General features: G+C 43.1%; 1 protein-coding gene across 4 annotated transcripts in view, besides 3 other annotated features; it reads left to right on the top strand.

Annotated features, from left to right (window-relative positions):
- The window catches only part of GABRB3 (gamma-aminobutyric acid type A receptor subunit beta3), a 230,212-nt gene that overhangs the window by 51,763 nt on the left and 153,200 nt on the right, over positions 1–25,249 (top strand). The window contains exon 1 of one of the 4 annotated variants that reach the window (NM_001191320.2): positions 5,236–5,387. The exons of the other annotated variants lie outside the window; for them this stretch is intronic. The gene's annotated coding sequence lies outside the window, so the exon portion shown is untranslated. Of the gene's footprint in view, positions 1–5,235; positions 5,388–25,249 lie in introns of those variants that run through there. 4 annotated transcript variants of the gene reach the window in all.
- Positions 1,065–1,871: an enhancer, noted in NCBI's record as "OCT4-NANOG-H3K27ac hESC enhancer chr15:26965277-26966083 (GRCh37/hg19 assembly coordinates)". NCBI's record gives its function as "activates a minimal SCP1, AML or CMV promoter by ChIP-STARR-seq in naive and primed H9 embryonic stem cells {active_cell/tissue: H9 hESC(naive and primed)}" and the evidence as "EXISTENCE:reporter gene assay evidence [ECO:0000049][PMID:30033119]".
- Positions 1,872–2,678: an enhancer, noted in NCBI's record as "OCT4-NANOG-H3K27ac-H3K4me1 hESC enhancer chr15:26964470-26965276 (GRCh37/hg19 assembly coordinates)". NCBI's record gives its function as "activates a minimal SCP1, AML or CMV promoter by ChIP-STARR-seq in naive and primed H9 embryonic stem cells {active_cell/tissue: H9 hESC(naive and primed)}" and the evidence as "EXISTENCE:reporter gene assay evidence [ECO:0000049][PMID:30033119]".
- Positions 2,679–3,486: an enhancer, noted in NCBI's record as "H3K27ac-H3K4me1 hESC enhancer chr15:26963662-26964469 (GRCh37/hg19 assembly coordinates)". NCBI's record gives its function as "activates a minimal SCP1, AML or CMV promoter by ChIP-STARR-seq in naive H9 embryonic stem cells {active_cell/tissue: H9 hESC(naive)}" and the evidence as "EXISTENCE:reporter gene assay evidence [ECO:0000049][PMID:30033119]".

Raw genomic sequence — 25,249 nt, 5'->3', positions numbered from 1 at the left:
ATTGAGTAGATGGAAAACTGAGCTTGGTGTGGAACTACAGTTAGAAAAGTAACCTGTGACCACATCAGGAAGCTTTAATTGAATTATCATGGACCAATGGTCTTTCTTTGATGTTCTCAGATGCCACTACATCCTCTGGGAGCAATGAAGTTGCAGCTGAAATCTGCTAGTCCTGGCTCTTTCTTGGTGTCTCCACTGACTCACCAGGCAGCCGTGTCTCATCAGATTTATGATGCCTGTCAGGGAGCACTGTAGACATTTGAGGTGGGCTCTATATTTTGTGGTGCAGGCTCTTTCCCTTAGGTAGGTAGGAGTGCAGGAGTGGACAAATAATTTCCCCTCTACCCTTTACAGTTCTTAGTTGAGACGGAGCTCTGTAACAAAAGACAGATCAACAAGAGAAAAACAAGCAGAAGATTAATGCATGCCCATGTGCAGCTGTGAGATACCCAGAGAAATGAGTACATCTCAAAGAGGTGGCTTTGAATTCAGGTTAACTGTCATCCTCTGCTGAAACGAAGAAGGGAGTGGGGAGGCCTGGCTTGGGGAGGTGACCTAGAGGAGCAAGAATAAGGCTTGTTATGCAGATTTCAGCGGGCGCCTCTCCATTGATGAGTGATTTAGAGTCCTCTTCTTCCTGGTACCCAGAGGAAGACACCCTTACAAATGGAGATTTCCTTCTTAGATGCAAGTTTCCCTTCCAAAGGGCCACTTCTGCTCTGTTTCCAGAGCTTCTCCTGCCTGCAGTTTCTCAAAATTACCAGCTTAAAATCATCATTATGCCAAAGAAGCATATTTTGGGGTGGCATATTCTGGACTCCTACAGGAGGTTCAGCTTCTCTGTCCCTACCTACTGCACCTAGCAACACTCCCTGCAATCCCACAGCCGGAGCATCCACACATTTTCAGGTCCCCTCAGGGAGAGCTTGTGGGGACCCCTGGGCGGATGGAGGAGGGTGAAAGCCTTGCAGAATGAAGTGTTTACTGAGATTTGACATGTTGGGGCGGTCTACCCCCTACACACACCCCTGCAGGATCTTGTTTGCATCCCCTTTGAGTGCCTTATTTGGGCCAATGATAATATTAACATTTTTTTAACACTTTTCTGATAAAATAAACAGAATCTTGGGAATATCCGCACAATGCACTTCACTAGAATATAGGTTCCATGTTGCAGAAGTAAGGTGTTCCTGTTCCTCAGCAGTTCGTCCTTCAACCTCGATTCCGGGTTCCCTTTTGAGGAATCTTCCTCCCTTTTGAAGTAGCTAGAAAATCCTGAGGGATTGCGTATGTGTGAAGGCCCTATACATGTATAAAGAAGGTTTAAAGAGAAAGAATGTAACAGCTCATGAATCAGAAACTCTTGGTATTCCTAAGAGAAGGTATTTGTGGTCTAAGTAAAATCTAATTCCTTTTGGTGGGGAGAGGGGAAGAGATTGTACAGTTGCCAATTTTTAAAAACCTGACCGTCTGGGTCCCTGGATACTCTGAAATGATGCCTGCTTGCCCCAGTCTCGTCTTCCTAAGTCACAGCACCTTTGAATCTTCATCACATGGATATTTCAGACACTAAGTTCTACAATGCTGTGTGATTGAGCTAGGGATCAGAGAGCCAGGAGAAAAATAATGACTGACAGGAGCTGATAGAGGTGACAGGTAAGTTTCACTCACGTCCGTGTGAAGAGACCACCAAACAGGCTTTGTGTGAGCAATAAAGGTTTTTAATCACCTGGGTGCAGGCGGGCTGAGTCTGAAAAGAGAGTCAGTGAAGGGAGATGGGGTAGGGCCGTTTTATAGGATTTGGGTAGGTAAAGGAAAATTACAGTCAAAGGGGGGTTGTTCTCTGGCGGGCAGGAGTGGGGGTCATGAGGTGCTCAGTGGGGGAGCTTTTTGAGCCAGGTTGAGCCAGGAGAAAGAATTTCACAAGGTAATGTCATCAGTTAAGGCAACGACCGGCCATTTTCACTTCTTTTGTGGTGGAATGTCATCAGTTAAGGCAGGAATAGGCCATTTAAATTTCACTTCTTTTGTGATTCTTCAGTGACTTCAGGCCATCTGAATGTATATGTGCAGGTCACAGGGGATATGATGGCTTAGCTTGGGCTCAGAGGCCTGACAGTAAGACAGGTTTCAATGACCAGTCAGGTTTGGGAATCGCCGGTTTGGGGTTATGCTATCAGTTATTGGGTGAATTTTTGGATTTAACTGTTTCTCATCTTTCTCTTATTGTCCTAATTTCTTCAACTGGCTTGTGAAGTTAATATTCAGAGCTGACCATTCTTAGCATAGCTGTGTCCAAACTGATGATCTGACGTATTTCATGACAGAAACAGTGGTCAATATAGGACGATAAGCTACAATGCAGGGATCAATGTGTTCACACCTCGAGACATTTTAAAACACTGTGCTTGAATGATAATAAATATCTGCTAAGTAGTGTTGTCAGCCATTCAAAGCTGAATATTTAAAACTTAGCTTTTACCCATGGATATTGCAAAATTGAGCCTATTAAAGTGTGAATAAAATTTGAATAATAATTTTAGGAACGATTGACAATTGTTTGAATCATTGTGCCATGGATTTTCATATAATGATTTTATGCCTGATTTGAAGTGTGAAATTGAAACCAAGCACATTCCATTTGTAGAGGGTGCCAACCTGAGTTCCTGGAAAGGAAGGCATACCTGTCAGTGCGTGTGCGGAGTCCTGGAACAGTCCGTGCTGAGCAGGGTCGTTCCTTCACTCTTTAGTTGGTCCCACATTTGTGGAGCAAACACTCATGGGCACCTGCCATGTGCCTAGCGCTATGCCAAATGCTTCGCATGCAGAGCGAAGACCAGGAGCTTGCTGTGCTGTTGTGGACATGGCAGGAATAATTACAATTCAGACCGATGTGCATGTGCCTGCCCAGAGGTCAGTGTGGTGCATGCAGGCAACTTGTAGGAAGCCCCACTTGCCAGGTGGCGGTGGGGACCATGAGGAGATGCACAGAGGGGCCTGGTGAAGGGCAGTGGAGGAAGCATTGCAGCAGAGGAAGAGCTTGTCCAGGACACCAGAGGGTGAAGTGGCCCCACAGCATGTCAGCAGCAAGTGTGGGGAGAGGCAGGCTGAAGAGGGGGTCGGATCTGATCACATTGGGCTTGCGAGCTGAGCCCAAGAGGGCCACACTTCAGCAGTGTGGGAGCACGGAGGTGTACAGCTTCAGGAGTAACAGGATTAAGTTGGCATTTTTGAAAAATCATTCTGGCCACCTTGTGGAGGATGATGGATGGTGGGTGGTGTTCTGAATATCTGAGATAGCTACAGCCATCCAAAGCCTGCTGCTAAGGAGGAAAGGTGGATTATCTGGATCAGCTGGGGAATAACTATAGACGAGAGTATAATAAGAAAAAAAAACACATTGAGCATCATATTAATCTTGAGATTGTATGCAAAATGTTTTGCAGCGTTAGTATGGATTCTTTATAAGTATTAATAGAAATAAGCTATTAAGGCTGGGCGCGGTGGCTCACGCCTGTAATCCCAGCACTTTGGGAGGCTGAGGTGGGCGGATCACCTGAGGTCGGGAGTTCGAGAGCAGCCTGACCCACATGGAGAAACCCCATCTCTATTAAAAATGCAAAATTAGCCGGGCTTGGTGGCGCATGCCTATAATCCCAACTACTTGGGAAGGCTGAGGCAGGAGAATCACTTGAACCTGGGAGGCGGAGGTTGCGGTGAGCCGAGATCGTGCCATTGCACTCCAGCCTGGGTAACAAGAGCAAAACTCCGTCCCAAAAAAATAAATAAATAAATAAATAAGAAATAAGCTATTAAATTGTACAAGTTGTCATTTGCCAATTCTGGCCTTTGACTAGACCTTTGGGGAAGTTTCTTTTTTGTTTTCAGGTGTGTGCAGGACCAACAGCTTCCAGAAAAGAACACTAAACAGTGCTGCCATAGATAGGTTATGTATGACATTTTTTTTGGTTGTTTTTCTTTTCCAAAGTGGGCAAAAGAGAAAGAATGAGACAGAATGAGAGATAAACTGATTGTGGAAGTACTTGCAGAAGTGAGAACTCTTCTTCCTTTAAAATGATTAACAGAGGATAATATCATTTACAAGGATCAAGGGATCTCTACCTTTGGCCTAAGAGGCAAATGGCTTTGGAATGCTTGGATTTGTTACAGCTGTTGAGTTCTCTTGGTTAACGCCAAATACCAGACTGACAAGACGAAGATCCAGCTCAGCTTGTAAAGAGGTGTCTGTTTCAATGGGAGGGAAGAAAAATATGGAGCAAGGGAAAACAAAATCAGTACCCCTAAGAGAAGCATGACGCATTACGTGTGATGGGTGAGGGAGGGAGCCAGGGGGAGAGAGAGATTCCATCCAATTATCAGATCTGAAGGGCTGTCTTTAAAAAATGTGGAGTTCCAGTTCTGGATGAGCGTTGTTGGGAAGGCATGATTTGGACAAGGGGAGAATTCAGGGTAGCATCTTCCCTGGAACCCACAGCATGTTACTGTTTTGGTGATGGGTAAGTAATCGAAGTGCTAGGATGTGTGGTCTTAGCTTTACACATGGTCCACATTATCCAGTCCCTGGGAGCTTCAGAGCTGGAGAGCAATGTCATTAGAACTGGGCTGTTGTTGGGTGGATATTAGAGCTGGGCTGTCATTGGGTGGAGGTCCCCAGAGCTGGGCTGTCATAGGATGGAGGTCCCCAGAGCTGGGCTGTCATCGGGTGGATATCCCCAGAGCTGGGCTGTCATAGGGTGGAGGTCCCCAGAGCTAGGTTGTCATTGAGTGGAGGTCCCCAGAGCTGGGCTGTCATAGGGTGGAGGTCCCCAGAGCTGGGCTGTCATTGGGTGGAGGTCCTCAGAGCTGGGCTGTCATTGGGCGGATGTCCCCAGAACTGGGCTGTCATTGGGTGGATGTCCGCAGAGCTGGGCTGTCATCGGAGGGAGGTCCCCAGAGCTGGACTGTCGCTGGGTGGAGGTCCCAAGAGCTGGGCTGTCTGTCATTGGGTGGATGTCCCCAGAGCTGGGCTGTCATTGGGTGGAGGTCCTCAGAGCTGGGCTGTGGTTGGGTGGAGGTCCCCAGAGCTAGGCTGTGGTTGGGTGGAGGTCCTCAGAGCTGGGCTGTGGTTGGGTGGAGGTCCTCAGAGCTGGGCTGTGGTTGGGTGGAGGTCCTCAGAGCTGGGCTGTGGTTGGGTGGAGGTCCTCAGAGCTGGGCTGTCATTTGGTGGAGGTCCTCAGAGCTGGGCTGTTACTGGATATATGCCATGTGAGCTGGATGGCCTGTGAAAGAGAAAGGCAGTTGGTGATAAAAATAATTGGATGATTCTTAAAGAAATAGAAGAGACTTGCTGTTGGCAGTGAGAACCCACAAGAGGCCTCTAAGGAGATGTAAGTAAGTGGGATTCACAAGTTGATGTGAGGCAGGCTGTGAGAAGTTGGTGAAGACGGTTTATGGGTTTGACCTGCTTGGGGAACTTGCACACATTGCTCAAACCCCCTGAGCATCGTTTCTTCATGGCAATTGTGAAGATGGGTTAGGTGCTGCATGGTGAAATACAGAGGGGAGCTCTTAGCTCTGAGGGACTCGAATGTGCTGTGGTATGACACAAAGGGCTGAGATAGGGGTTTTAGGAGCCTGTGGTTCTCTATAAATATGAATGCAGCATCATCAGCTACATCAGGTTCATTATCCTACCTCTTTGTTGGATGTGCTTCCACCTCCACTCCCAGCGCACACCCATCACACACACAGCCACGTTCAGTGGGAAGAGGATCAGCATGTAGCATTCAGTTGCTGAGAGCTGTTTTGCAGTTTGTACTCTCTGGGCCTTGAGGAGAAAAAAATCAATACAATCTTACATTTTGAAGATGAGACTTTTCTGTTTGTTTCCCTTGAGTCAGGATATTGATCAGCTCATGTATAGCTTGAGTTGGATGCACTTGCTTTAGAAGGTGTGGGGAATTCCTGCATGGCTCAGCTTTTCATTCTAATTGAAAACCAGCACTGTGTTCACAACAGTGTGTGTTCTTACCATGGCTTGTTCTCTGTGTATTTTGCTTTTTGTGTCTGGAAGATGTAGCAAGTCTGGAAATCTTAGAGCAAACTATGGAGTGTTGAGGTCACATTCTATACATTATAAATGAGTTGCAATAAAGAAGGCCCATAAATGACAGACCATGGATGTTTTTAATAGTTTACTAATAAAAGAATGGATTTTGCACACAAGACAACAGATGATTCAGGCACGGGATGCATCAGAGTAATCTACTTATCATTAGTATATTAAATATCACAATGCAACCAACACCATGCACCTTAACAACATTTTCTAGCATTTCATTATCTATAATTTTATCTGAAAACATATTGTATGTGCTCAGGACTAGTAAGAGAATCGGTTTATAAATAGTTATTATTTCATAATTTCTTCAACATAATTACCAAATGCTAAGTCATGTCCTTCTCGTTCCTGCCTCGGCACTTAAGGACTTATTGTCATAATTTGGCATTTTTGTGCAAGTCTTATTACATCGTGTGGGTTTTCTCTCCTCTCTCTTCTGGGATGTAGCACATCCCACACACAGCTGCAGGGAAAAATTCTCTGTCACCATCATATCTGTTGCTCTGTTTCCTGCTCAGTTCTTAGAGAGGCTTCTGAGGACCCTCAAAACCCAAAGTTAACTTTGCTGGCTGGAAATGGCAGCTTTGAATAATTGGTTTTTCTGCTGTCTCTCAGATTTTTCTGACCTCTTCAATCACCAGCCCAAGTCTCCCACGTGTGTTCCTGCCTCGTTCCAAGGCTGGGATGGTTAGAAAAGCTCGCTGGTCCTGGTGAGAGAGACTCTCTCCTTGCTCACACCTGCCTCCTGCTTCAAGCTCAGACCCCCCCAGGTCCTCAAGGAGCTGCCCATGGCCCCCTCTTGCCCTCTTGTCTGCATGCCCTCAGTATGGATATATTTACCTGGCACCTTGTTTTTTGTGCCTAACTGCTATGTGGCTTTGTAATTTTTTTGCACGTGGCTTTTTTGGGATGTGCTTTATCTCCCCTTGAGGCAGCGGATGGTTGTGTTTCTCTGTTTTTGGTGTGACCTCTGAGAACTTAGTGTTCTCCACAGACTACAGATTTGTCTTTCACTCCTATTTCCTGAACTGCTGTTCATTGAGACAGTCCTGAGTGATTTCCTATGCACCTTTAATAATTACTAACAGTGATAATGAAAATAATAATAGATAGTGTGAAAGGAAAATAAATCTTGGGACCTCTAAATCACTAAGCTAAAGGGAAAAAGTCAAGCTGCGAACTTCTTAGGGTCAACCTGCCTCCCATTCTATTCAAAGTCGCCCCTCTTCTCACTGAGATAAATGCATATCTGTTTGCCTCCTTTGGAAAGGCTAGTCAGAAACTCAAAATAACTCGACCATTTGTCTCTTATCTACCTATGACCTGGAAGCCCCGCCCCACTTCCAGTCTTCCTGCCTTTGCTTTGAGTTGTTCGGCCTTTCCAGACTGAACCAATGCTCATCTTACATACATTGATTGATGTCTCATGTCTCCCTAGAATGTATAAAACCAAACTGTGTTCTGACCACCTTGGGCACATGTCATCAGGACCTCCTGAGGCTGTGTCACGGACTTGCAGCCTCAACCCTGGCAAAATAAACTTTCTAAATTAACTGAAACCTGTCTCGGATTTTTGGGGTTCACAGTAGTTATGGGGGCATTGTTATAGTTCAGGCACTGTGTCAAGCAGTTTCTGTGTATCATCTCACTACATCCTCACACCGACCCCAATGCAGGGACACTTATGAAGCTCTTTTTACAAGGGAAGAAACTGAGGCTTAGGGAAAATAGGTGATTTGTCGTAGCTCAGACGTCTAAATATTCTGCACACCTTCCTCGGCTGTTTTCTGTGTGTTTGAATGCAGTGACAAACATATTCTCCTTATTATTGTTCTCGTTGCTGGCACGTGTTGAGTTTCCTTCCGGGTCAGAGTCTCTGCCAGAGTGGTCACCTCAGCCCCGCCATGGCAAGTGTGCCTGGGGAAGGCACTTTGGACACTCACAACATGTGGCCGTTCAACCTCCACCAGCCGTCTCTGATCCCTGGTTCCTCTGCTGGGTTTGCTTCCTTCTTGGGTCTCTTCCCCTGAGGGTGTGTGGTTTGCTGAGGTACAGCACACCTGCAGTAAGGAGGCAGAAGTGGGCACAGGAGTGTGCTGCCTGATGAATGCTCACTTGCACATAAGCTCATGCAACCAGTGCCCAGATGGAAACGGGGAGCATGCTGTCTCCCACCCACGACATCTTATGGAAACAGCGTGTTGCGGCCACCAGTTCTCACTCCTTCCTGTGCCAGCATTGCCTGTCCATGGCATTCATTCTTCCCACCCTGTTGGCCCCTCTTGGAGAATCTTTTTGATGCATATCTCTGATGTTTTTCCAGCCTCTACCCTACAGACCTCCAGGCTGGATCATCCCGGTAGCCTCTTCCTCTCTCCTTACTCCTGAACCCAGCATTGTGTTTCGGGGCCCACAGAGATGACTGATGGCACCAGGCGACTGAGCTGCCAGTGTTGCTGATAGGGCCTGGGTCTCCCCTCTCCTGTGCGTCCACTCTCTGCCTGTCCATCCTCTGCCTCTGGTACCATTCTCTCTGCCCGCCACATTCTCAGCAGACGGCCTCACACCATGAAAAAATAATAAAAAGGTTATCAAGAGGAAATTCCTTTGGCTGTCCTCCCACTACCACTGCCCTTCCCCTACAGTCACGGCCTCCTGGGACACCTTTCCCACTGCCGCACCCTGCCTCAGCCGCTCTCAGGAGCTGAGCGCCACCTGGTTGCCCAAACCAGAGTCAGGAGGACCCCGACCGTTTCCTCGTCCTTGCCCTCATGGGCACCTTGACCAGCAGAGCCTGGTTCTCCCACTTCTTAAAAAGCTGTCCTTTCTTCTACCCCTACCTGACCCTGGAACTCCCCCATGGTGGCATGCTGCTTCTGGCCAGCAACCTCGCCCCTCCGTCTGCCTTCGCTGTGCAGCCAGCATGATGCGGAGTTTCCGAAGCCTGCAGCCCAGTGTGCTGCTTCCTGTGGCTGGCTTTGGGTTTCCCAGCCCGCGGGGTTCCTTGAAGCTTCCCTGCACATCTCCTCAGCCTCTGCTCCGGCCACGATATCTGCTCTGTGCCTCCCAGCTGTTTGCTGTGGTCTCCTCAAGGGCATCTCCTCCCCACCTTCCCGAGGTGGCCGTGGGCACAGGGCCCTGGCTTCTTCTTTCTCTCCCCCTCCTCGCCTTTCCAGTGCCTTCCACACACTGCAGCAACACTGACATGTAATACAAGCTGTCACTTCTCCCAAGGGCCAGACTCACATCCTAAATGACCACTTGGAGGTTTCAGCACCGCAGATATCAAATGTCCACAATAGGATTCTGGAGTCACGGGCTCTCGGCTTCCCCACACTCTAGTCCTTGTTCGTCAGAGAATCCTATAGTGTGCTGCCTGCAACAGCTGCACAGATTGAACCCCCCCTCACCACTCCTGCCCACCCCTGCTTTCCCACAGCTTCAGCATCTCCATCTGGACACTTCTCCCAGCCTCCTTGCTGCTCTTCTGGTTCCCCTGCTTCTTACATAGTAGCCAGAGTAACCAGAGAAAACCACATTTATTCCCTTAAACAACCCACTGATATGGGCAGGCATGGTGGCTCATGTCTGTAATCCCAGCATTTTGGAAGGCTGAGGTGAGAGAATTGCCTGAGGCCAGGAGTTCAAGACCAGCCTGGGCAACATAATGAGATGCTGTCTGTATAACAAAAAAAAAAAAAGAAAGAAAAGTCCACTGATGTGAGCATTCTCCTTCTCCTTCACATCCTCCCCAGTCTTCCCTCTGCCCACCTCCCTGGCCTCCCACTTAGGCCCTGTGCTCCAACCTGCTGTCTCACCAGTGCATGACGTCTGTGCCCACCCAGGGTCCTTGCCCTTGCATCTCAGCTGCTCAGCCTGCTCTGCTCGTGATCTGCACCAAGCTCTCTTCTTCTCAGTACTCAGATCGATACTAAAATGCCTTCTCCTCAAAGAGCTCTTCCTGTTTCCAAAGCAGCTTTTCCTCTCCATGCAGTCCCTCTCTCTCCCCTTACTTGTTTTACTTTTCGCAAATTGACAAGTGTTAAGATCGCATTGTGAAATCATTAGTTTATTTCATTACGTTCGCTACTTCATTACAATACCAAGACAGGTGGTTGATGCTGCTGGCTGCTGCTGTAAGAAAGGAAAGTCTTCTTCCATGCTAGCGGCAACCAGAGCCATTCCAGGCAGGAGCTCAGGTTGGTTCCCCACATTTTCGGGCTTACTCTGACGTGTCCTGCTGTGATCATGGGCTTTGTACGCTAAGGCTCAGAAGAATGGGAGATGGGGAGCCTGGGGCGGGGGAGGTAGTGTTGACAAATCTAGATAAGAGCCAGTCAAAATCACTCTCATGCACACACAATAGAATACATTCATAAAATGAATATGAAGCAGATGGAAATGATATGAGGCCGAGCGGAGCAGTGGATTTAGAATATGCCACATCCGTCACGAAGCTGTAATATGTGAGATCCACAAATTATCATCCAAGGGGGTCGGAGGGCCAGTTTCCCAGAAGGAGAAACTTACTGTTATGTGGTGGTGTCTACCCGGGAATCAAACTTATTGCTTAGGAAAATACAGTCATTTCTGTCTTCAAGACCAGCCGACATCCTCATAGAAAAGGAGGAGTTCTTTGCCATATGACAATGTCCTCAAAAACATCTTTAAAGTAAACACAGTGATATATTTTGCTGGCCTTTCCTCATTAATATAGGCCAATGATATCATTCCAAAGGGAAGATGGTGGAATCCATTTGCCAGATGAATTGGCTGTAGAATGATCTATCTAGATTTGTTTTGGAATAGATGGTGTTGAACTTGATAGAAAACACCAAAAAATTATAAGGTATTTTCAGACTACTTCCAGAGCTCATGAGGCATAGTATGTGCTTAGATTAAAGGAGATGTCAAAAACAGTCTCCCAGGAGAAGTCAAAAACAGTCTCCCAGGAGAACTGAGAGATGGAAAAAAAAAAAAAGATCAAAGTGTTATTCATTAAGAAAATGAAAAGACAACCCACTAACTGGGAGAAAATATTTTTAAAGTACATATCTGTCCAGTATATAGAAAAAACGTTTATAGCTCAATAGTAAGAAGACACAACCCAGTTGAAAAATGGGCACACTCTTTGTATCAATATTTCCCTTGAAGATTGACAATACTAAGTATTAGGAAGCATTTGGAGAAATTGGAGTCTTTATACATTGCTGGTGGGAATATAAAATGGTAGACACTCTGGAAAACTATTTGAAGGTTTCTTAAGAACTTAAACATAGCGTTACTGTATGACCCAGCAATTCTGCTTCTTAAGTATCTGCCCAAGAGAAATGAAAATATAGGCCATCCCAGCACTTTGGGAGGCCAAGGTGGGAGGATCACTTGAGGTTAGGAGTTCGAGACCAGCCTGGCCAACATGGAGAAACCCCATCTCTACTAAAAATAGAAAAATTAGCTGGGCGTGGTGGCAGGTGCCTGTAATCCCAGCTACTGGAGAGGCTGAGGCAGAAGAATCATTTGAACCTGGGAGGTGGAGGTTGCAGTGAGCTGAGATTGCACCACTGCACTCCAGCCTGAGCAACAAGAGTGACACTCCGTCTCAAACAAAACAAAACAAAACAAAAAAACAAATTATATGCCACACGATTTCTGTGCAGGGTATTCAAAACAGCCCTAAACTAAAAACAACCCCAGTGTTCAACTGTTGAATGAATAAACAAAATATGGCCTATCTGTACCATGTAATACTATTTGGCAATAAAGAGAAGGTACATGCAACCACATTGATGAACCTTAAGGAACATTATGCTAAGTGAAATAAGCCAGACACCAAAGACTACATAGCCTATGATTCCATTTATATAAGAAAGGCAAAACTATATTTAGAGAGAGTAGATCAGTACTTGCCTGGGGGTGAAAGTAGAGAATGACTGCAAAAATGCATGAGGAAACTTCTTGGGGTGATGGAAATTTTCTAAAACTGGATTGTGGTTGCCTTAGTCTGTTTGTGTTGCTATAAAGGAATACTGGAGGCTGGGTAATTTATAAAGAAAAGAGGTTTATGACTGGGTGTGGTGGCTCACGCCTGTAATCCCAGCACTTTGGGAGGCCAAGGTGGGTGGATCACAAGGTCAGGAGATTGAGACCATCCTGGCTAACAGGGTGAAACCCTGTCTCTACTAGAAATACAAAAAATTAGCTGGGCGTGGTGGTGGGCACCTGGAGTCCCAGCTACTCGGGAGGCTGAGGCAGGAGAATGGCATGAACCCAGGAGGCAGAGCTTGCAGTGAGCTGAGATGGCGCCACTGCACTCCAGTCTGGGCGACAGAGCAAGACTGTCTCAAAAAAAAAAAAAAAAAAAAAAGAAAGAAAAAAAAGAAAAGAGGTTTACGTGGCTCATGGTTCTGCAGGCTGTGCAAGAAGCATGGCACCATCAGCATCTTGTGAAGGCCTCAGGAAGCTTCCAATCATGGCAGAAGTAGAAGGAGGGTCAGCATGTCCTATGGAGAAAGAGGGAACAAGAGAGGGGAGGTAGGGGGTACGGGCCTTTTAACAACTCTCCTGTGATCAAATAGAGTGAGAACTCACTCCTTGCCCAGAGGCGGGCACCAAGCCATTCATGAGGTCTCCACCCGCATGACCCAGACAGCTCCCACCTCCAACGTTGGGAATCAAAGTTCAACATAAGATTTGGAGTGGACACATATCCAAACTGTATCAGTGGTGATGATTGCTTGACTATAAAACATTTGCTAAAAATTATTGAGCAGTACTCTTAGAATGGATGATTGTTTTATCTATAAACTGTACCTCAATAAGTTGCTTTATGGAAGTAAAAAATATATCCATATGATCTTTTAGTAGAAAAGATAATAATCAATATTTAAATTTTCTTAGAAACATAGTACAAAATAAGATATGCAGTACTAATAGTAATAGCTAACACATACCAGTTATGTGCTTCTATGTGATAGCTCTCTGGATCCTTCCAAACAGCCCGCATAAAGGTCCTGTACTGATCCTCATTTTACAGACAAGGGAGCTGAGGAAGGGAAAAGCTGGTTTTATATACCTTGCCTAAGGTCACACAACTTTTAACTGGTGGAACCAGGATTGAAACTCTGATAGCCTTGGAGTTTGGCTAGCAATCACAGACAAGCTGATGCCCATGGATGTGGCGTGCTATCTTCCACTTCAGGTCTTTTGCACATGCTGATTCCTCTGCAGAAACACTCTTGAACCTTCTCTTCCCTGCGATGACTCCTACTCTTTTTGGAGTTGAGCTTCATCGCCTATTCCCTGGAGGTATTCTTTCACCCCCTCCCATATAGCTCCTCTCCTCATGCAGTGCCCTAGTACCCAGGACTCTCTTTGTGGAAGCAGCAGTCACTTTTGCCTATGCCCTCATTCCCTCATTGACTGCCTGTCCCTGGAGTGTACTGCCTAGTACAGTGCCTGCACCTGGTAGCTGCCCATTTCTTGGCACTATCTGATCTGCACCTGTATTGAGCAGGAGTTAGTCAACAAGTGAGCTGAATAGTAGTTGGTAAATGCCATCTGTGGATCTGTTCTCACTTTCTGCTTCATCATTTCTTAGGGAGCCAACTGGGACATAGCACACATTTCTTGAGGGTGACTGTCATGTAGAACAATCAATTGTACTCATCCTTTTAAAGATTCAAACTCTAGAAGAACATGAACATTTTTATTTCTCATAGAACATCTCTAGGAAAACTAGTATTTCCAGAATTTTCTTGGAAGTTCTGACCTGGTCATGTATTATAGGCTGAGTATTTTTAATCTGAAAACCTGAAATCTGAAATGCTCCAAAATCTGAAATTTTTTCTGTGCTGACATGATGCTCAAAGGAAATGCTCACTGGAGCATTTAAGATTTTGAATTTTGGGGTTGGGGATGATCAATTGATATAATGCAGATATTCTAAAATCCAAAAAATTTGAAATCTGAAACACTTCTGGTCCCAAGTATTTCTGATAAGAGATCCTCACCTATGTATCATTTTGGGGGACATTCTTTTCCTCCTCTCCTCTGCAGTCTTCCCATTTCATGTAACTTCTGCCCCATCATTATGCTGAAACACCTCATGTTTAAAAGGCCTATGTCCACCTACTTGCCAAGCCTAAGTGACACTGTTCACACTTATACGATTGGGTCCTCTTGCAGCATTTGACAACTTAGCCTGGGGCAGTGAACCCTAATTACCTCTGCAGCTAGGAAATGTGTCTTGCTCTGTGTGGCAATGCCTTCCACATCTCAAATGCACCATTGCCAATAATGAATGCATCCTCTTCTTCCTGGACCATATTCTCTCTTTTTCCATGACCTATGGTGGATACTCAGGCTCACACGTGACCCTTTCTTGCCCTAAGCCTGCACTTCTAATTAAACATTCACTCTGAGTGACTCTATCCTAGATATTTTTCAAGTCTCTGCCGTCTTTTCCAGCCTAAACACCACAGTTTTCATTCAACATCTTGCCATTTCTTGCCTGGACTTTGTAGTCATTTCCCAACTGGTTCCTCTGCCGCTGGTCTTGCTCTCCATCCCCTGTGCTGACACGATATTCCTTTAATATCTATCGGTCTTACCTCACAACTTCCATACAAAAGAGTTCCTGGGAACATGCCTGTCCTGCTCTTCTCACTGGGAACCTTATCCACAGTGCTCAGTGCAATTCTTCCTTCTCCGTGAAGCCTTTCTAGCCTCCAAAGATACTTTCTCTCTTATGATCCTGTGGCATCTGGTGCATTTTGTTAAAATATTTATCATGTGTTTGCAATCATGTATTTCCCCGATTCTTTCCCGTTGATTGTGTGAGTGCCTCCAAGGTGGAAACCACAGTCTCATCCTTCCTGGCACTCCGACACCTAGCACCTTGGCCAGCACAGAGTTGCAGCTTCAGCACTGCTTCTCAAATACAAACCCTCCTTCCTATCCAAACTTCCATCTCCACCTTTACTCCTCACAGAAGGACTGAGGGTAAAGGAAGATGGCTGGGAGGCTGAGACTCCCTTTTATTTTCATGCAGAATATCTGTGTACAGATTTAGGGCATAATGGCTTAAAGAATTTTTGTTGAATGAATGAATACATGAACACATGGATAAATGAATGAAAAAACACACCCTTCCTCCCTGAAAACCCTTGTTGATGACTCTGCTTCACTCATTCCTTTTTTACTTTGAGGTCCTTTTTACTCTATTCATGCATTTACCCCTATTTTCTCGTTTTTTAAACCTAAGTTGTTTTAAAACAAGTTAGTGCAGATTTTATCAGAAAAGGAAGCAAACCTTTTTTCTCCTTAACTGCAGTTAGTCCATTTCTTTGTGTACATTAGGTGCTAAATAAATGTTTGATGAAGCAATGAATATATTAACAAAGCATAACATGCCATAAAATGAAAAGGAACAGAAAAAAAAAACCCCTCAATTTGATTCCAAAGCCCTAAGTGACTATTACCTAGGTTTTTGAAAATAACAGCTAAGTGTGAATTTCCAAGGAAGGATTTCTAGGCTCCTGTAACACTTCTGTATGAACTCTTTTGTATGAAGATTTTATGGATAAGTATGTGTCATGCCTGGTTGTTTCGTTGCATGAGGCGGGTATTGCCTCAGGCGCTGTGCCAGGTTCAATTTTTGTGCTGGGACCCCGTTGAGTTTCGAAGGTGGATAGAGCCTGAAGCATCTTCTGATTGAAGTGAATGAACATTGAGTGGAGTGGGATAGTCTTTGTTTTGTTTAGTTTTTTGAGGCATAATCAACATCCATGTACTGCACATATGTATTTATCTATTTATTGTTTTTTAATTTTAACTTTACAGTCAGGGGAAACATGTGCAGGTTTGTTACAAGGGTATATTGCATGAGGCTGAGGTTGGGGCTTCGGTGGATCCTGGAACCCAGATGGTGAACATGGTACCCAATAGGAAGTTTTTCAGCTCTTGCCTGCCTCCTTATCTCCCTCCTTTTGGAGTTTCTGGTATCTATTGTTCCCATCTTTATGTCCATGAACTGCACATATTTAAATGATACCCTATGGTGAACTGTGAAAACCCAGGAAACCATCACCATCATGAAGGGAATGAACATATTCATCTACCCCCAAATGTTTCCTGCTGCTCCTTCATAATTCCTTCCTCTCTCGTGTCCACCCTCATCTTTTGTCTGCACTGATTGGTGTCTCTTAGAATGTTCTATACATATAATTGTATAGAATGTACTCTTGTTTGTCTGGGTTTTTTGTTTGTTTGTTTTGTTTTGCTTTTTGCTCAGCATAGGTTTTTGAGATTTATCCATGTTTGAGTTGTATCAACACTTCATCCTGTTTTATTGGTGAATAGAGTTTCATTATATAGATATATGCCAGAGTTTGTTATCATTCATCTGTTGATGGACATTTGGGCTGGACTATGTTTATGTCTCCCAAAATTTGTATGTTGAAATCCTAACCCCCAATACGATGTTGCTGTGGTTTGAATGTTTCCTTTTCAAAATTCAGGTGTGCCAATGTGATAATATTAAGAGGTGTAGCCTTTAAGAGGTGGTGAGGCTTCTTCCCTGTGAATGAGATCAGATGTCTTTATAAAGGCGCTTGATAAAGGCAGTTGGTTCCCTCTTACCCTTCTGCCTTTTGCAATGTGAGGACACAGCAGGAAAGCCCTTAACAGATTATGCCAGCACCTTGATCTTGCATTTTCCAGCTTCCAGAAATGTGAAGGAATACATTTCTGCTCGTTATAAATCATCTAGTCTCAGGCATTCTGTTATAGCAGCACAACTGGACTAGGGCAGGACTTGATAGGGTAAGTCAGAGGAGGAGAGTGTTGCTATAACAAATACCAAAAAACGTAGAAGTGGGATTTGAACTGGGCAGTGGTTAGTGCTTGGGACAGTTCTGAAGTGAACGCTGGAAAAAAGCCTATATTGCAGTGAATGAAGCATTAAGAGTGATTCTGGTGAGAGCTCAGAAGAAGAGGAGAGGTGAAGGGAAAGCCTCATTCTCCTTAGAGATTACCTAAGTGGTGTTGGCAGTGATGATTATTTTGATGAAGTCTCAGAGGGAAATGAGGAACAAGGTATTGAAAACTGGAGGAAAGGTCACCCTTGTTATAAGGCAGCTAAGAATTATATACATGCTGTAGGACTTTCTGGAAGGCAGCAATTAAAAGCAATGGCTAGGATATTTAGCAGATGAAATCTCAAAGCAGCAAGGTGTTCAGGATCCTTCGTGGCTTCTTTTACATGCTTACAGTAAAATATGAGAAGAGAGAAATATTTAAAGATGATTTATAATTAAAAGGGAAGGACAATGTAGAGATTTGCAAAATTCTCAGCCTGGCCATTTAAAGACTAAAAAAATGTGTTTAGGAGAGAAAACCAAGGGTGTGGCCAAATGACTGTTTGGCAAGGAGATTAGTACGGATAAAAGGAAGCCAGGGGCTATATACATCAAGACAATAGGAGAATGACCTCAAAGACACTTGAGAGAGGTTCAAGGACTTCCCATGGCAGACTCCAAATGCTACAACCTTGATGGCAGAATGGATGCAGGGCACCTGTGGGACCTCAGGACTTACTTCCCAAGGCTACTTTAAGTCTTTTCTCCACATTCTGGCACAGCACTTCCCAGACACCCTGGCTGTTGCTGAAGCAGGCTGAACTGTGGCTCTGACAGTGGCTCTAGGCCTTGGCAGTGTACCCTTAGTACTGATTCTGTGGGTGCACAGAATGCAAGAGCTGTGGTGGCATGCCTTCCTCCTCCCAGATGTCAAAGCCTATCTCAGAGAAGGCCCATGCGGAGAACTGCCACAGGGGTGGAACCATCACAGACAGCCTCCATAACGCATTACCTAGTGGAGTCTTGGGGCCTGGCTGCCACCAAGACCCCAGAATGTAGAGCCATCAATATGCAACGCCAGCCTGGCAGAGCCACAGGCATTTGACTTGAATGTATGAGAGCTAAGGTGTGGGTCCCGCAAAGCCAGCAAAGTGGGGCTGCCCAGGGCTTTGGGGGTTCATCCTCTACCCCAGTGTGTCCAGGAGGTAGTACATTGAGTCAAAGATTGTTCTTCAGTCTTAAGATGTAATGCTTGCCCCCTTTGGGTTTTGGACTTACTTGGGACCTGTTACCCTGTTCTTTCCTCTCTTTTGGCACTATCCTATGCCTGGCCCTCCATTGTCTTTTGAAAGTATATAACTTGTTTGATTTCACAGACTCACAGCTGGAGGCAAATTTGCCTTGGGATGAATTCTACCTTGAATGTCACTCATGCAATGTTTGGATGAGATTTTGGACTTTAGACTTCAAAGTTGATGCTGAGATGAGTTAATACTTTTGGGCTATTGGCATGGAGTGAATGTATTCCAGATGTGAAAAGGACAGCGTTTAGGGGGCCAGAATCAGATTGTTGTGGTTTGAATGAGTCCTCAGGTGCTGCCAATGGATAGGATTAAGAGGTGGAACATTTAAAGGATAACTGGGCCATGAGGGCTCCTCCCTTGCAAATGGGATCAGGGGTCCTTGCAAACGGTCTTGACTGAGGGATTGGTTTTCTGTTGCCTTTCTGCCTTCCACTGTGTGAAGATACAGCAAAAAGGCCCCCACCAGGTGCCGGTGCCTGAATCTTGGAATTTCCAGCCTCTAGAACTGTGAGGAAATTAATTTCTGTTCTTTATAAATTCCCCAGTCTTAGGCATTCTGTTATGGCAGTACAAAATGGAGTAAAATGATGCTTATTAGGAGGTGGGGCATTTGGGAGGTGATTAGATCCTGATGTCAGAGCCTTCCTGAATGGGATCAATGTCCTTATGGAAGAGACTGGAGAAAGATTTCTTGCTTCTTCCACCATGTGAGATTAAAGCAAAAAGGCCATTTATGAACCAGGAAGAGGGCCCTTAACCAGACACCAAATTTGCTGGAGACTTGATTTTGGACTTTCCAGCCTCCAAAAGGCTGTAAACAACAGAAATGTATTCCTCACATCTATTTGAGAGATGGTATTTATGGTATTTTGTTACAGCTATTTCGTTGTAACTGCCTAAATGGATTAAGACAGGCTGTCTCCAGGTTTGACTATTAAATTAAAAAGGCTGCTATGAACATTCATGTACAAGTCTTTGTGTAGACATATGCTTTCATTTCTCTTGGGTAAATACTCAGGGGTGTATTGGCTGGATCATATGGTAAGTGTTCATTTAATGTTTTCTGAAATAACCCACAAGTTTTCCACTGTGATAGTATCATTTTATGTTCTCATCAGCAGTGGGTGAGTGTTTCAGGTTCTCCTTATTTCTGTCAACACTTGGTATGGTCAATCTCTTTAAAATTAGCCACTCGAGTAGATTTGCAGTGCTCCTGATTTGTATGTCCCTAAGGACAAGTGATGTTGAACACCTGTTCATGTGATTAGTTGCTGAATATTTTCTTAGGCAAAGTGGCTGTTCCACTCTTTTACCCATTATCTTATGGAGTTGTTTATTTCCTTATTGTTGAATCTCAAGGGTTCCTTACATAATTGGATGTAAGCTCTTTATCAGATATACGCTATACAAATATTCTTTCCCAGTCTGTGTTTTCATCCTCTTTTAGCAGTGTACTGTATGTTTCAAAAGACAAAAGTTTTTCAGTGTAGTGTTTTTTACAAATTGTGCTTTTGGTATTGAATCAAATAAATCCTTTCCCAATATAAGATCATAAAGGTTTCCTCCTGTGTTTATTTCCAGAAGTTTATAGTTTTAGGTTTTACATTTAGGTCTCTGGTTCTTTTCCACTTGATTTTTATGTATAGTGGAAGGTCTGGGTTGAAGTTCTTTTTGGGGTATGGATGTTTTCGCCTATGGATATACAGATGTCAAATTAGTCTAGCAGTATTTATTGATGTTTCTTTTTCATTGAACTAACTACCTTTGTCAAAATCTGTTGTTCAGGTATGTTTCAGTCTATTTCTGGACACTATATTCTGTTTCATTGATCTCTCCATGTATAGTTATACCAATACCACACTATCATAATTACTGTAGCTTTAAAATAACTCTTGAAATAAGGTGGTGTTAGTTGTATGACTTTATCCTTTTTGAAAATGTTGTTTTGGCTATGCTAGGTTCTTTGAATTTGCATGTGAATTTTGCAATGTTTGTCAATTTTTGCATTGAAAAGCCTGTTAAGTTTTGATTAAAATTGATTTGAATACACAGTTAACTTGGGGGAGAATTGACACCTTAGCAATATGAGTTTTCTAACCTGTGAACATGGCATATCTCTCCATTTATTTAGGTCTGCTAAAATTTCTCTGAAATATTTGCTGGTTTCCATTGTATAGGTCATTCACGTCTTTTGTCATATTCATCTCTATTTCTTATTTTTGTAGGCTATCATATAAGGAGTATTTTTAATGTAAATTTTCAATTGTTTATTGCTAGTATACAGAAATAAAATTGTTTTTGTGCATTGACTTGATACCCCACAGTCTTGTTAAACTTGTTTATTAATTCCAGTAGCTTTTCTGTAGATCCCATTGGATTTTCATGTCATCTGTGAATAAAGACAGTGTTGCCCCATCCTTTCCAATCTAGATGGCTTTTCTCTCTATTTTTTTCCCCCCAACTTACCACACTGGCTGGATCTCTCAAGTGTTGAAAAGAAGTGGCAAGAGCAATATCCTTGTCTTGTTCCTGATTTAGAAGGAAAGCAGTCAGTCTTTTTACTGTTAAGTATGTTTGTAATAGTTGTTTCACAGATGCTCTGTCTCAAGTTGAGAAAGTCCTCTTCTCTTCCTCGTTTGCAGAGTTTTTTTGTTGTTTTTTTTTTTGAGACGAGTCTCGCTCTGTCTCCCAGGCTGGAGTGCAGTGGTGCGATCTCGGCTCACTGCAAACTCCGCCTCCCAGGTTCACGCCATTCTCCTGCCTCAGCCTCCCAAGTAGCTGGGACTACAGGCACCCGCCACCACGCCTGGCTAATTTTTTGTATTTTTAGTAGAGACGGGGTTTCACCCTGTTAGCCAGGATGGTCTCGACCTCCTGACCTCATGATCTGCCCGCCTCGGCCTCCCAGAGTGCTGGGATTACAGGCGTGAGCCACTGTACCTGGCCGAGAGTTTTGTAAGACAAGGAAAGGATGCTGACTTTCGTCAAATGTTTTTCCCATGTCTATTGGGATCAACCAATTTTTTTTCTTAGTATGTTGAATTACATTGATTGACTTAAAAAAAGTTAAACTTTCCTTGAATTGTTGGAAACTTGGTCAAGATATATTATCCTTTTATATGTAGTTAGATTTGATTTACAAAATTCTATTGAAAACTTCTGCCAAAATGTTCATGAGGGATACCGATCTGCAGTTTTCCTCCCTTGAAATTTACTTGTGATTCAGGGCTCATGGTAATTTTAACCTGAGAATAAACTGGGAGGTGTTCTCTACTTGTCAGTATTCTGGAAGAGTTTACATAGAATTGATATTAATTCTTCCTTATATGCTTGGTAGAATTTATCCTTGAAATCATGTTTGTGGGAAGGTTTTTATCTAAAAATTAAATTTCTTTGATAGATAGAGGTTTATTCATGTTATCTATTGTTTCTTGAGTTTGCTTCAATAGTTCGTCTTTGAAGAATTTGTTGCATCTACATTGTAGAATGTATCAGCATAAAGTTGTTCATAACATTCCCTTAGTTTTCTTTTTGACATCTGTAGGCCCTGAAATGATGTCTCTTCTTTTATTCCCAATGTTAGTAATTTTGTTTATTCTCTGTTTTGTTTGTTTTTTTTCCTTATCAGTCTGGTAAAGGTTTATTGATTTTTTTGAAGAACTTTTTGTTTCATTGATTTTTCAGTATTGTTTTTGTTTTCTCTCTTATTGACTTCTAATCTGATCTTTATTATTTTCTTTCCTCTACTAACTTTGGGTTTAATATTATCTAATTTTTCCAGTTTTATAAAGTGGAAGCTAAGGATATTGATTTGAAACTTTTTTTTTTGAAAAAATAGACTTTCAGTGGTTGTAAATTTTCTTAAATATTTCTTATTTAAGCAGCCCACAATATTATGTTTCCATTTTTATTCAATTCAAAAATCTCACTTACGCTCTTTTATTTTTTCTTTTGTTTGCTCTCTGTATTTTATTTTGAGTTGTTTCTAATGCAATGTCCTCAAATATACTCACCTTTTCTCCTGCAAGTTCTAGTGTATAGCTACTTCCATCTGTGTATTTTCATCTCAAATATTATTGATTTTATTTCTAGAAGCTCAATCTTAGTCTTTTGTGTTATCTTTTGTGGATCTAGTTAACTTTTTGAGTATCGAGAATAGACTTATAATAACTTTTAAAATGTCTTTGCTAATTCTGACATTTAAAAAAGTTTTGAGTTTTTTTTTTTTTGATTCACCGATGTACTTCCGTATTCTGGGTTATATTTTCATGCTTCCTTACTTGTCTGGTAATCTCTGTTTGGATGCCAGACATTGTGAATTTTAACTTGCTGAGTACTGGATATTTTTGCCTTCCTAGAAATATTCTTGCGCTTTGTTCTTTGACACAGTTACGTTACTTGGAAACATTTTATCCTTTTGGGTCTTGCTAATATTGGTTAAGCAATACTGGAGCATTGCCTAGTCTAGATTTAATCATTACTATTACTGAGGCAAGACCTTCTGTGTACTCCATCTCATGCCCTATGAATGCTGCTCTGTGGGAACAGATACTGTTCCCAGTTCTGGAAACTTCTTCTTAAACTCTGACAAATTTTCCTCTAATATTTATATTCCTGCTTCTCAATGCACTTTGTGTCCGTTTTTCCTTTTTTTCACTGTTCTCATAACATTAACTTAATGTAAAATCAAACGCTCATCACACTATATGAATGACGTTCCTTTTTCTCTTAGTTTTATTAAAATTTTAATTATTTAATCTAAAATGGGCAATTATGTCACTATTATAGAGGTTCAACATAGCTCACTCAAAAATAAATGTTATGTTTTTGTCATTGTTTTAGTTGATGAATTAGATTTACTATATCGGCTTTCTTTTTCACAGTCTTTGAAGCTAACATTTTAACAGATGAAGTTTCTGACAGCTGAGTGCAGGGAGAATAAACATGCATCTGTGAACACAAGCCAGGCGGGAGCCTTTGGGGAGCGACAGGGGAAAGGCAATAATGAGCCCAAAAGAGGGAGGATTAGCCCCATAAATATCGCTCATCTCCCATCAGACCCTCTCTTAACGTTGCCCCTTCCCTCCCTCTTCATTCTGTTTTATCATTTGTTTTCTCTCTTGGATGTATACTTTTTGTCATTAAAATTTTTTCTCTTTTCTATTTTTATCCTTTTGAACATTTAAAGAATCTCTTCCTTTTTTCTTGTTGCAGGTCCCTTGTCACAATGTTGTTTATGTTTGCAGAGCAGTACCCTATAAATGTGTATATAATTGTGATTCCCTGAGTGTGGTCACAAGATGATCCATTGAATTCTAATAGATTTCACTTTGGAATTCATAGCCAGTTCACAAAAGAAATGGAAGAATATGTAATAAAGAGTAAATACATCTTTTGGCAATATTTTAGCAACCAAAATATTACCCGACCCTAACGTTGTGGAGTCTATGGGTAAACACTTTATTGCATTTTCTCCCTGTTTCTAATTCTCAGAGGCAAAGAGGCTAATGACGTTATTCATGTCAATCCATCTGTCCGCTTTCCTCCTGGGGTATAATCAGTTGACATTTCTTTGGCAGTCTGGGAGGCTAACCTGGCAGCTTCCTTTGCATCTGTCTTTTGTGCAGATTGCACGGGGGCTGTTGTGTCTCTTTTGCTGGGCATGATTCACAGAGGCTTGCTTAGTTGATGAGCTGGGACTCCTTTGATCAGCTCTAAGATGATGAGGGAGGTGGGGTAAGTTGAAATGCCAGATGAGTTCTAAATTATTTCATAGATCTGTAATTCAACGGAAAAATAAAAGTATTTGGTGGCATCTCTTTTGATAAGAGCCCGGAGTTCTGCTGGGAGAAACAGTGAACGTGGAGAAACAAATGAGAGCACAGCGTGGTTGCCTGGTCCTCAAGAAGCTTGTATTTAAGACCAATTTTCTTCAGTGAGGGCTTGCAGGATTTACCAGCTCAGTGACCTCAAAAATGTTTGGATTGGAGGAGGGGGATATAAAGAGATATTGCAGTCCCTTTTTTCAACCCCAGGGGACAGGGGACACATTGGACTTTTTGCACACTCTCTCTGAAGCCGTGGGATGAGAATTGAAAAGCAGCATTTAAGGGTGAATGTGGGTATGGACTGGCATATGTGCTCCCTCTTCCTGCATTATCTGAGGTCCTGCTTCACTGGAGGACTTGAGAAGGACCTGAGAGAGTGTGCCAGGGTGGAGGGAAGGAGACAGGCCACTCTCAGCAGGGGTAGGAGGCTTACCCTTGGTGGTCAGGGATTGAGACATTGACTCATTGGTCATTGAACAGATTGTGCTGATAGACTTTGCTTCTCTCCAGAAAATGTTCTTTCTCAAGCAGAAATCTAGTAATTTACTTTTTTAAAGAAAAGCACATATAGGTTATGTTTATTTCCAAGGCATTCAAAGGAAAATCACATTATTTTAATAATAAGGAAAAGCTTACCCTTTGAGAATAGATCATTACTTAGGGTAATGTGTTTCTTAAGAAACATTTTTCATAATCTTGTGCTTAAAAATAATTGAAATCTTAGAATTACACTTTCCATGCATTTAGCACTCTAAGGAATCTGTGGGGATCTGAAATTGCAAGGCCACAAGTAGGTGGAAGTAGCCAGAAGAGACTTGTATGTTGCAAGGATTCTTAACAACTCTGTGGGTTTGGATATAAATGTGTTTAAAGCACAAGTTTTGATGTATCATTTCTTTTAAAAAAATTCCCTAAATTTGATTTTGTCATTTGTTGACATTCCCTTAAATTCACTGCATGTTGGCCATTGTCGGGGTGCAATATTGCAATGTCAGAAGTAGCCCAGTGTTGCAGTGCCAGGGGTCACAGAGCACACATGCTTCATATGCGAGTTTTTTGTGGGAGCACTTTGACATCAAAGTCTCCCACCCGCATTGGTGTTCAGGTACTCTCGATTGTACTGTGGGTCCCTGAGACCCT

Source organism: Homo sapiens, chromosome 15 (assembly GCF_000001405.40).
Source record: "Homo sapiens chromosome 15, GRCh38.p14 Primary Assembly".
Lineage (NCBI taxonomy): Eukaryota > Metazoa > Chordata > Mammalia > Primates > Hominidae > Homo > Homo sapiens.
Note: the sequence above shows the minus strand (reverse complement) of the source record. Positions and strands in the feature narration are given on the sequence as shown.